General features: G+C 40.5%; 2 annotated features.

Moving 5' to 3' along the window:
• Nucleotides 5788-6547: an enhancer, noted in NCBI's record as "OCT4-NANOG-H3K27ac hESC enhancer chrX:136828928-136829687 (GRCh37/hg19 assembly coordinates)". NCBI's record gives its function as "activates a minimal SCP1, AML or CMV promoter by ChIP-STARR-seq in naive and primed H9 embryonic stem cells {active_cell/tissue: H9 hESC(naive and primed)}" and the evidence as "EXISTENCE:reporter gene assay evidence [ECO:0000049][PMID:30033119]".
• Nucleotides 6548-7306: an enhancer, noted in NCBI's record as "OCT4-NANOG-H3K27ac hESC enhancer chrX:136829688-136830446 (GRCh37/hg19 assembly coordinates)". NCBI's record gives its function as "activates a minimal SCP1, AML or CMV promoter by ChIP-STARR-seq in naive and primed H9 embryonic stem cells {active_cell/tissue: H9 hESC(naive and primed)}" and the evidence as "EXISTENCE:reporter gene assay evidence [ECO:0000049][PMID:30033119]".

The following is a 12354-nucleotide window of genomic DNA, read 5'->3' on the forward strand; positions in this document are numbered from 1 at the left end:
AAACAAAAAAAGAAATACAATTTAAAATACCCTATAATCTTGGCTTCTATACACTACTTAAAGCATTAATATGTTTAATACTTTTTTTAGTGTTTTTTCCTTTGCTCACATTAAAAATTTTTTTTTTTTGCTATTGGACATTATGTTGTTGTTTTACAGGAAAGAGTGTGGAATCTGTTATTTGGTTCCCTTGCTTTGCTCAGTTCTGAACACATTGTAGAGTCTGAGTGAGCCTTGAAAGTCCCCATTCACCTTGCTCTTTTGCTTTTTGATTGGACTGGAAGCTCCATGAGACAATGGCCTTACTGGTTTTGCTCACTACTTTTTCCCCAGAAGGAAACATTGCCTGACACATACACAGTAGGTGCTCAATAAATATCTAGTCTCTCAGCTTTCTTTCTTGTCCCAGATTTACATACAGAAATAAGATTGTTGTCTGTAAAATTTAAATCAAATTGTGTGCTGTCCTTGTAGGCCTTGGTAGAGATTTAACTTTATTTTTAATTTTAACTTTATTTTTACCTTGAGAAAAGTTGGTGAGGGAGGAATTCAGAAACATATGCGGTAGGCTTTGCTTTGTACAGGAGGGGCATTTCCTCAGTTGTTGCAAGAGGAAAATATGGGGGCAGGTGTAGTTCTGTTTTTAGGTTTGTAATAGAAAGAGAAGTCATTTTTGTTTGATGACTTCTATTTTGTCAATGAGTTAAGTAGCAAGGTTACAGCTGAGGGGGGTAGGATGTAGGAATAGGCATGAAATAGTCGTCTTGAAAAGTAAGAAGGAGATATTTCTAAAGTGATACGGTAGGGTTTCTGGGCAATGTTTGAGGGGTCATTAGAGGTCTTAGATCAGGAATTTTGAAGAAAACTTGTTGCCCAGAGTAGGGGGGATTCTCTGTCCTAAGATACTTTTAGTTATTTTTCTGTCCATTGCTCTCAAAGGAACTTTTTGTTTTAAACCTAAGGCCTGGTGTCCTTGAAGCTACTTCAGGTGATCCAAAAATCCCCTGAACTTACATGCAAAAAATTATGCATATGTGTATTTTCCAGAGAATGGGTCCTTAGCTCTCATTAGATTATCAAAGAAGTGTCTGACCCCCAAAAGTTTAAGAACCACTGTTGAAATGCTTGCCCTCCTAATTAGTACAGCCCTTTAGGACTGCACCACAGTCGCTCTCCTTCCTAGCCAGTATTCTCACTGGCCCGTGAATTACCTAATATGGAGGCGTGTTAGGTAACTCAGCAACTAAACCCCTAGTATGAACTTCAGGTAACCCTACCTAATGTGGTCTTTTCACACCACCAACTCTGCCTCTCTTACCCCCAGCCATTCACCACAATGACTACAGAGAGAGGAGACAGTGTCATTGCTTAACAATGCAACGAACACTGTCACTACAAGTAAGGCTATTCCTGCCTTTATTTAATACCCCTCTTATTAGTACACATTGATGCTGTTTCTCATCCTTGGATATGCTAGTTCAAAGAGGGTGTGCATATAAAGAAATTTCCGGCCGGGCGCGGTGGCACACGCCTGTAATCCCAGCACTTTAGGAGGCCGAGGCGGGCGGATCACGAGGTCGGGAGATCGAGACCATCCTGGCTAACACCGTGAAACCCCGTCTCTACTAAAAATACAAAAAATTAGCCGTGCGTGGTGGTGGGCGCCTGTAGTCCCAGCTACTCGGGAGGCTGAGGCAGGAGAATGGCGTGAACCCGGGAGGCGGAGCTTGCAGTGAGCCCAGATCGCGCCACTGCACTCCAGCCTGGGCGACAGAGCGAGACTCCGTCTCAATAAAAATAAATAAATAAAATAAAATAAAATAAAATAAAAAAAGAAATTTCCAAAGAGTTGTCAGCAATCTATAGTCCCGTCAGTGGCATGTGGACTTGCTTGTTTCTCCACACTGGGAATTATTGTGCCTTTTATCGCTATTACCAATCTGATAGTTGAAAATAGTACATTGTTGTCTTAAGTTGGCACTTGTTTAAAGTATGTCACCACAGGGATTTTTAACCTGGAGTTCTTAGATGGGCTGGGAACTCCCGGAAATGGCATGCAAATTGTTCTTTGTGTTTCTGTGCATTCTTTAGGGGTGAGAGAAAGGGTGAGAAGGGTTGAGAAGGGTTCTGTAGCCTTCCTCAGATTTTCCAAGGGAGTCTAAGCCTCCAAAATATTACAAAACAAAACTGGAAAGGTTTTATAGCAAATTACTAATGAAAAGTAGGTAAGCAATAAATAACTAACTTGGGAAAGTTATAAAATGCAGCAATCACGTAAGATGCCCATGGTCCCCAACTATAATTCTTTTTTTTTTTTTTTAATCAATGTTGACCAGGTTGGCCTCGAATATGTAGCCTCGCCTCCCCGAGTCCCAGGGCAACCGGCCTGAGCCACGGCGGCTCCCCCAACTATAATTCTTGATACCCTTTTTTATGTTAAAAAAATTCAGTGATACTTATTAAAGCACCATAAGGAAGACTTTATTTAGGACCATGGCAACAGGTACACTGCAACAGAGCCTTGAGGTGGAAGAGAGAGAGAATGGGCTCAACTCCAAATAGAGCATGGGCAAGTGGGAATAGCCAAGCAGCAGGGTGGAGGTGGTCACAGGATGGAAAATTGCTAACAAGCCGCAGCAGGGGCAGGGGTATTCTGGCTAAACCAACCCAACAGGATTCTTGCTGAAAGCAGGTCAGGGTGATAAGACATCCCTTGGGGAATGAGGGAGGATTGAGGACCCTGATCAGATAATTACTGAGGATAATCAGATATCAAGGATGGGGATTCTTGCTAAGGTGACTTAGCTAGTTTTCTAAAGCTAGATTTTACAAGGAAATGCACAGATGGGCCTAGTAGAGGATTCCTGACCAAAGTTTCACTAAGCAAATAATCTTTGTCACTTTTTTTTTTTTTTGAGACAGAGTCTCGCACTGTCAACTGGGCTGAAGTGCAATGGCACGGTCTCGGCTCACTGCAACCTCTGCCTCTTGGGTTCACGTGATTCCCCTGCCTCAGCCTCCCGAGTAGCTGGGATTACAGTCACACACCGCCACGCCCGGCTAATTTTTTGTGTTTTTAGTAGAGACAGTGTTTTACTGTGTTGGCCAGGCTGGTCTCGAACTCCTGACCTTGTGATCCGCCCACCTCGGCCTCCCAAAGTGCTGGGAGTACAGGTGTGAGCCACTGCACCCGGCCTCTTTGTCACTTTTGACACCTGAAATTCTCAGCCTCTCCTAGTTTCCTTCCTCTGGGATGCTCCTGCTCTCTGGCACATAGTCTGGAAAAATCTTTTCTTTTCTTTTTTTTCTAAGACATAGTCTTGCTCTGTCACCCAGGCTGGAATGCAGTGGTGTGATCTGGGCTCACTGCAACTTCTGTCTCTCGGGTTCAATTGATATTCCTTCCCCCACCACCACGCCGGGCTAATTTTTTGTATTTTTAGTAGAGACGGGGGTTTCACCGTGTTGGTCAGGCTGGTCTTGAATTCCTCACCTCAGGTGATCCACCTGCCTCTGTCTCCCAAAGTGCTGGGATTACAGGCATGAGCCACTGTGCCCGGCCAGAAAAATCTTTTTCTGTGGGAAAACCATGAATGAGCTCTGTGGACCAGTCCATTGCTCCCTCATCTAAGTGGTTGAGTTAATCCTGATTCCTTTCTCAAAGCTCTCCTCTTGTTCTTAGAGAAAGGCCATTCTAGCACTTTACTTCCACAGGGTTCCCGAGGAGGTACCTTTGTGGGAAGCAGGATGTGCAAATCTGTTTTTCTGAGGGGGTCTTGGCGCCTTTTAAGAAGCTGCCAGCCAGAAAGCTTTGAATTTTATCTTTAAATTTCATGTAATTATTGCATTGTATTCCCTAGAATATTTTTGCATGTCTTAAAGTTAAAAAAAAAATCTTACCAAAATATTGGTTTAAAATGGACATTTGGGGAAGTTGTCTTATATTTGTCAGTGAATCCAAAGATCCCTCAGTTGGGTTCAAGTGTGCCTGATTTTCTCTGTGTTTACTTTAAAAGTGTTAGGTACATATAAACTTAAAATAAAGCATGTTTGCAGGGCTGACTTTTCAGTTTCTTTCATTTTGTAGGATTTTCTTTCTCAGAAAATTCTACTTTGGATCAAAAGAAGCTATGAATTCTATTTTCCAAAGATCTTCCATTTTGCAGAACACGATTTTAACCATCCGAAATGTCGTTAGTTGAAATTATTTTTTTCAATATCTCAATTCAACTACCAAATGCCATTCTGTGTTCAGAAATGGTGTCTCTTCTGCCATCTTGGAGGAAGTGCGTGGTTTGCCTTCTGTTCACTATTACCCTTCTAATTTTATCTCTATCCATGAGGTAGGTGATACAACCCTGAAGACACAATGCCTATATGGGCTAAGGAAATTGAAGTAGAGGATTTGTCCCAGGACATCGGTGATAAAGTGGGACAAGAAAGTTAATCTTCTGATACCCATTATCTTTTTGTGAGGGAATGTTGTGTAGCATTGAGAATTCCTATGTGATGATAGGCCTTGGTTCTACCACTTACTAACTGGGAGGCTTGTTGCGAGGTACATCACTTCTGTATACCTCAGTTTTCTCATCTATAAAATGGAGATAGTAATATTTACTTTGCAGGGTGGTGGTAAGGACTAAAGGAGATAATATCTGTAAAGTGTCTGGTATATAGTAGGTAAAATGTAGAGATTAATTAACCTATCCTTCCATGCTTCTTGGAAAAGTTCTTTGTGGAGAGAAATAAGTCTTATGAAGATTCTATTGCGAACTTTATTTTGGCAATTCAATCATAGAATCTAAGATTCTCTGGAACTGGAAGAGCACTTAGAGATTGACTAGTTTAATTAACTTGTGTTACAGAGGCAGAAACAGGCTGAGAGAGGGTGATGACATGCTCAGGGTCACAAGGTGATGTAGAATCCCCGGTAAAGACACTTATACTTAAGAGGGGAATATGTATTTTCAGGAACCTTTGTTTCAAAAGATGTATTAAAAAGAAGTCTTTCAAAGTAAAAATGCTTTGTGCCCTAAAATAGGAATCCCCATGTCTAAAGTTCATTTGATAATGGATATAAATCAGTTATATTTAAAATGGTACCAAAGTAAAGTAAAACAGGTGGGTTTCTTTAAAATTAAAAGGTCATATGCATTTTAAAAATACAATGATGTGCAGATAATGAACATGTTAGCATATATAGCCATTAAAATGTAAATCACCTTGCTAATCTCCCTCACAATTGAAAAAATAAATAGACTATCAAAATATTTAGGGGAATATCAGATGAAATTTTACTTAAATTTTTTCTTCCAGACTTTTTATTCTTCACCCAAGATTACTTTGGTCTATCTAACCATAAGAAGAAAAATAAGCTTAATACATAGATAAATGCTTGTCTTCCTAACACTACAAAAGAAACATTTGTTCTCCCAGATAACTCTTAAGTAAACTGCTGTCAAAACAATTAGTGTTATTTTTCTATTATCTTCCTATTTGAGAGTAAATAACCATTTCATGAATATGTTAATTATCTGGTAGGTGGAAAAGATAAGAAGGGCTCTATATCTCCAGAAGCAATGATAAATCATCAATTGTATACAAAAACACAAGAAAGGGTTATAAGCGGGATAGTCATATGTCTACATTTCACCTAGCCAAAGTAAAATCAGTTCAGTTTTGATAGTTGAAAGAGAACCAGGAAAAAAGTGACAATATTTTGATAGAATGAACCACGAATAAGCCTTCATTTGTGCACTGTGGCTGCAATGAGACTGTCTTCTATCTCACCAAGTATTCAATAGTTTTATTGCTAAGAAAGCTATTTGATTTTCACAAAATTTAGAACACACGTTTTGGGATTGTGTTAATTGTCACTGTAAAGAATTGGAGAAGTGAAGATAAACCCTTGAGTATGTTCCTCTCACTTAGAAAAGCCTAGTTTATGTTACAAGTACTGAACAGAGATTTTTCTCTTATAAAATCACTTTTTAAAATATATGATCGTGCTTACTTTAAGCTTCATCTACCTTTAGTAATCATGCCCAACTTTTGGCAGCTTTGAATGTGCCTTTTGAAATCTCCGGCACAGAATTCTTCACCATCCGCAGTGGTTAAATGTTTTGCTGAAAGGGAACACATTTTGAAGGGGGAGAGGAGGTGGGGGTGGGGAGAAAACGCAGAAAAGTGCTTTCTCTTCCTATTTTGAAGGGGCAAGATGTATTTTTCCATATTAAATATTTTGAAAAAGTTGAATGCAGCATTGTGCCAGATAATTAAAATGTAAATTTCAGTATCTATGCTTGCTTTGTGATTTTTTTAATACATTTAAGTTAGTTGTCTTTTAAAACATGTGGTCAGCTGTTGTATTCACATATGGTCAAATGATCAAAGTCTGAACTCCTCTCTAATTGTCCCCCCGCTGCTCGTCTGCTCTGTCCGTGATCAAGGCCTCAGCAGGTGATGAGAAAGGCATGAGAACAAGCTGGAAGGAGAATGAGGCACCGAGAGGCCCAAGCTGAAAGAAATAAAGACTTCCAGTACATCACCCTGACAGTAAAGAGCAAAGGAAAAGTGACGTCTGGTTAGTAGTGCTTATATATTTTTTTGTTCGCCAATCTGCATACATTTTTTCCCTAGCTAAATGCAAATGGAGCCGAGCCTGCTGGCAGAGATGGAGCCCCACACATCAGCGCCACCGACGAAGTGTTGCATTTGTTTACTTGCCTTGGGAAGAAGCTGCTAAGTCCCACAGTTTATAGTATTTCACATGTTTGTGGAAATCATTGCAATTCTTTTCACTTCTGCTTGTCATTGTTTGCCTAGAGTTCACTTTGCCAGATGGCGCTTTATTGTCACTAGTGGTTACACCTCGCTATTGGATCAGTTCAAGACCAAATGGTGTGAAGAGCTTTCATACTTAGAGGATTTAGTCAAACATTCATTCTCTGCTATTCAGACTGCTTGAGCACTAATTCATAAATGAGCCGGCTGACCTAGGAATGAAGGGAAGAGAAAATGGCCCAGGTCTTTTTTCACCGTAAATTATTAATTTGCCTTCTATTTACAGTCCAAATTGGGATGAATCATAATTAAGCAGGAGTACCTTGCAAAAACATAAATAAGATGCTAGGGGAGGGGCTGGGACAGAAAACAAGACATTGCATTATGTGAATACTGCCAGAGCTTAAGGGTGGGGGAGTTGCTAGTCCGCACGAAAATACAACCCATTATTTTCCCACAAGTCCTATTTCCTGATGGTCTCTGGTCCCTTATCAATAAGCCAGTTCTATCAGCAAATGCCACAAATGATCACATCAAACATTTTTTTGAATGTGTATTTTTTAGTGAAAGTTGTCAGATGTGAAATGTTTTCAAATATGAACACATCTTCAAAGCTGAGAAGGAACTTCTAAAATCCAAGCTATTCCATTTATCTTTTGTAATTATTAGTGGAGGTTTGGGAAGTCTGTCTGAACAAATTCTGGGTGAGTTCACTTTTCGGCTTTAGAAATTGGGTAATTTGGGGGCCTGAGATAAGCAGCTTCATAATGTGTGTGTGTGTGTGTGTGTGTGTGTGTGTGTGTGTTTAAAATTTATATGGTATTTGCCTTTTTTGAAACAAATCTATTGATGCATCTCTTGGCTGCTGCCTCAAGCTATGGAACTTGTCTTCTTTATCAAATTTTTCAAACGACTGAAAAGATGGTGCAGTGAAACTAAAACAGGGAGAGCAAGGAAAGGGTTAAGCAAACAATGACTCAATTGCTCTGCCTAATGTTGTTTCTTATTAAATTTGAAGCCCTGTAGTTGTCGCCCTAGTTTTCTTTTTCCTTGGGATGGGAGTATAGCTTTACCTAACTATTCAAAGTCATGTTGAAAGGACAAAGAAAAGCGCCGAGGTGAAGAGGGAGGTTCTTTGGCAGAAGGCAGGTGCTAAGGGATTTGGAGGTTATTGTTGAAAAAATCCTTGAAGCCCTTGGTGCAATGCCTTGCTGTAGTAAGAAAGGCAAACAGGATAATAGATTGTATCAACAGAGGGAGCGAACCCAAATCAAAAGACGTGATCTTGTTACTGTACGGACTGATATTGTCCCTCTACAAAGAGCTGGTTGGCGCTAATCAAACACTGCACTGCCAGCCTAATCACCTTGTCCTCAGAAGCCTATTGTCCTGAGTAAGGCCCAGTTCACAGAACAGCCGGGATGATACCCATTTTTCCATTGAAGGAAAGGGAAAAAGAGGTGTAGGTTTTCTCCTTCATACATTTTTTTTTGCATTGAGGTACAATGCAAAATTATGTAATAATAGTATCCCTGGGTCCTGACCTAAACCCGGGGAAGCCACAGCAGAGGGGATTGCAGCTCTGCTTGGGAAGTAAGCACAGCTGGGAGGAACAAAGCACCAACTGGGGGTCCTCTGGTTTTTCCACACAACATTTCTGGACTTCAGCTCTTTGCTATGCTAAGTGGGCTGCCAAGTAATTGGACCTACCGTTATGGAGGGGAGGAGACAGAAAGCTGGAAGGGCATAGTGAGAAAACAGGAACTGCTAAGCTGGGGATTTGGGTGGGGGTGGAGGTGGGAGTGAGGGTGGGGGCGGAGGGCTGAGGACTTTGCTTTCAAGCAGCTCCTTGAAACCAAACAATGAAGTAGGGAGAGTTAGTTTTAATATTAAACCAGACATCTTGGCATTTTCCCTTTGCAAGTGGGATAAAACTGAGTAAATAGTCAGCGTCTGGAGTTAGGAGGACACTTTTGTGCACTTTGTTAAGTCACTTCTTAGGGCTTCCGGTTTCCTCATCTGAAAAATTGAGAAGGTGGTGGGGAGGGTGTTCCACTTCAAATCGAAATTCTCTTCTAGCCTAACATTCTGCGGGCTTGCATCTTCGTGATGTCTTGAGTTTATCTTTCAGGAAGACTCAGCGTACCAGGGGGCTAACAGATCCAGCTGCACTGCGGCTCTGAATGACTCAGGTCAGTTCAGGTACAGAATTAGATGAAAATATTGGACTTGCACTGTGCAGAAGGACCTCCTTTTGACAAGCCAACCTATGAAGAATGGCTGGCTAACAAGTACTTGCTTGTTTAGCCATCAGTTTAAGAAGGGTGGAATAGTTGGAGGTTTAGCTCTTTTGGAGGTTTACAGCCCTTTTTAGAGGCTGTCCCTTGCTATTCCTCTCTCCTTGCAAGGTTCAGAAATTCCTGTCTTTTGGGTTCATATGGCTGAGGCCAATCAAATGCTTTCATCAGCTTGCCATTGGATGTTGAGTGATATATTGCCACCAGTTAAAATTTGACCTACTCAATGACCCTCTTGCAAACATTAATTGTGCAGAACATCCTTCTCCTCCAACAAGAGTATCTTCTTGAAAAGGCCACTCATTTACTTAAGGCCAGAGTTAGCCCAACTCATCCAAATTTGTTACAAAGCTTACCTTGTACTACTTCATCCAGGGATTCCTGGAGAAAAGAATCACATAGGCCTAACATAAAGGTTAGAAAGAGATTATTTTCCTCAGCGACTTTGCAAACGATTACTAAAAAGGGCTTTCTGAACTTCTATGAGATACTTATTTACCATAACAAAAACACAGCCCTAATCATCAGAGAATAGAAAGATGTATAACTAAGGCTTTACTTTAGCTGTGATGGATTTTGCACAAAACCTTTGAATTGCCATGGGAAAGGAACGGCAAATTTTAATGTGCAGAGAAATATTAAAACAGCATAAGCAATGATGGCCGTCTGGTTTTCAAACTGGTTGATGGATAAAGATAGGCTCTTTTTATTTCTGCAGAAACCAAACCACATTAAACAAGTATTTCTTATCATGGAGCCAATTGTATGCAATATTACAGATTTTCTTTAAAGCTTCTAGTTAATCTTGTTGTGTGCCTTTGGAGGTATTAGGAAGGCATTGTCCTGAGATGAGTGAATATCTAAAAGGAGACTTTTTCTTTTTAATCAAAGTACAGAAGCTGCAAAACAAGGGAAAATTAAGAATTGTCTTTAAATTTAACTAAGCTAATCCAGCTAGCTACAGAGATATTCTTTCTATTTTATTTGATCCACTGCATCCATCATTTTAGTAATATTTTGTTTTTTAGGAAAATGGTGTAAATCGATCTGGAAACCTTGAGACTGTGTCTGTTGCACCCACGCTGTGTTTGTGTGCATATTCCAAGACAACCAAGGCAGACATTTTTGTTGTTGTTGTTTTAGCTTTTCTTTCCTGGACTTATAAGGTAAAAAAGTTTCTTTGTTGGGCTTGTTTTTTCTTTCAAGTTTATGGGGAGTAATGAACACTGAACTCAAAGTCAGATGCATTTTGGTTTGAATCTCAGCTTCATGCTTTGTAGCTGTGTGACCTTGGGCAAATCACTTAGCTTCTCAGAACTTCATGTATCTAATAAAAGGGTCACCTGCTTTCAGAATTTGTGAAATAAAAAGTTCACAAGCTCAACTCAGTAATTCTATCAACAATCAGATACAAAATATCTTGGGGAAACTCAAGACATATCTCTCCTAGGGCCAGGGCACAAGACTTCCTTCCCTGCTCCATCTTTGCCTTTCCAAGTTGGGAAAAGGCCTGGAAATAACTCTGTAGAAGTTTTATCGAGGATGAAGATTTACTATCCTCATTTCAGGAGGAAACTGAGGCCCAGCAAAGTTGTGGATTTTTTTCAATGTCTCATAGCTGTTAAGTGACCAAGCAAAGATTATATAACCCAGATCGTCTAACTCCTCATCCAGCCTTTCCACCATAGTGTCTGTTTCGAAACAAACTGGGCCTTCTCATAGAGAGCTTTCGGTGAGAAATTAGCTTTATTTTGAAATGTACCTGCTAAAGAGAATTCTTCAAATCCTCTCCTAAAGGACACTTAGTGATTAATATAAAATCTCCACCCAGGCGACTTTTACACACTAATCCAAGTCAGAGAGATACAGATCCAAGGTTCTCATGGCAACGTTTAGCCCCCTCTTTGAGTAAGTGCATTACTACAAGGCCCTTCATCAACCAATCCCCTAATGCAGGGGAACCTTGAATACAAGACCCTGGAAACCCTAACCCTAACCTTCTCTTACTCTGAAAGAAAGGCAAACACTTTTTCCCCTTCTATTCTCTTTTTTCCTTTATGGAAAAGAAAGGAAAGAACTTTCCTTCTTCAAGTTTCCTTTATGGACCATCCCCTGCCTTTGCCCCAACCCCACCTGGGCCTCAATTTCTGTGACAATTTTCTTCTTTTCCAGCAGGGATTACTTTTCAGTGTTTTTTTTCAATGTGGGAAAAATAGATTTGGACTAAGGGGAGAGCTTCAATTCCTTCTTTTGCATTTGGGTGATGGTGGATACAGTAACCCCATAGCTGGGTTCCTCTTTCCAGGTCCCAGGTTCATCTCCAGTTTTGTAGGGAGGCTTACATTTAGACCAATAGTATGGACTGCAATCATGAGAAAAGAATCCCAGTTTCTTTACTTAGATGTGGGTTTGGGTCTTGTTTGGCCTCAGGCATGGATGGAAAGACTGGGAGGGGATGCCACATTTCTAGCAGGACTCAAATTGTCTCCTGGCAAAAGTGTCCTCAAAAGGTAAACTTACTTCATGATAAATATAAGCTGCTTTAGCTCACAGGTATTGTAAGTGTGAATCCCATTTTCACCTGACCCTCTCTCCTTATCTTCCAGTCTAACAACTTTAGGAAAAAAAAAATAGTGACTCACAGTAGCCGTTTCTAATTTGGTGCATTGGTTACTTGGGTGTGAAATACTGGGCTGTGTCTCTATCCCTCTGCAAAGAAATCAGGAGTAACCAAAAGCCCTTTTTAGAAAACTCTGGAGAACTGTTTTCTGTCAACATAAACCCACTCTCATAGTATGGAGAAATGAGATTATTCATTGCTGTCCACAATTGTTGACTCTATTTTCCAATAGTAACAAAGTCAAATTTAAGGAATCGTTTTTTTTTTTCTTGGTCACAATACTATTTTTTTCAGATTCACATAATAGCCCAGTTATTTGCTTGCTTGCTTCCTTCCTTCCTTCCTTCCTTCCTTCCTTCCTTCCTTCCTTCCTTCCTTCCTTCCTCTCTCTCTCTCTCTCTCTCTTTCTTTTTTGACACAATCTTGCTTTGTCGCCCAGGCTGGAGTGCAGTGGCATGGTCTTAGCTCACTACAACCTCCGTCTTCTGGGTTCAAGTGATTCCCCTTTTTCTTTTCTTTTTTTGAGACACTGACTTGCTTTGTCACCCAGGCTGGAGTGCAGTAGCGTGGTCTCGGCTCACTACAACCTCCGTCTTCTGGGTTCAAGTGATTCTCCTGCCTCAGCCTCCCCAGTAGCTGGGACTACAGGCAAGC

The sequence above is a fragment of the Homo sapiens genome, chromosome X, assembly GCF_000001405.40.
Source record: "Homo sapiens chromosome X, GRCh38.p14 Primary Assembly".
Classification (NCBI taxonomy): domain Eukaryota; kingdom Metazoa; phylum Chordata; class Mammalia; order Primates; family Hominidae; genus Homo; species Homo sapiens.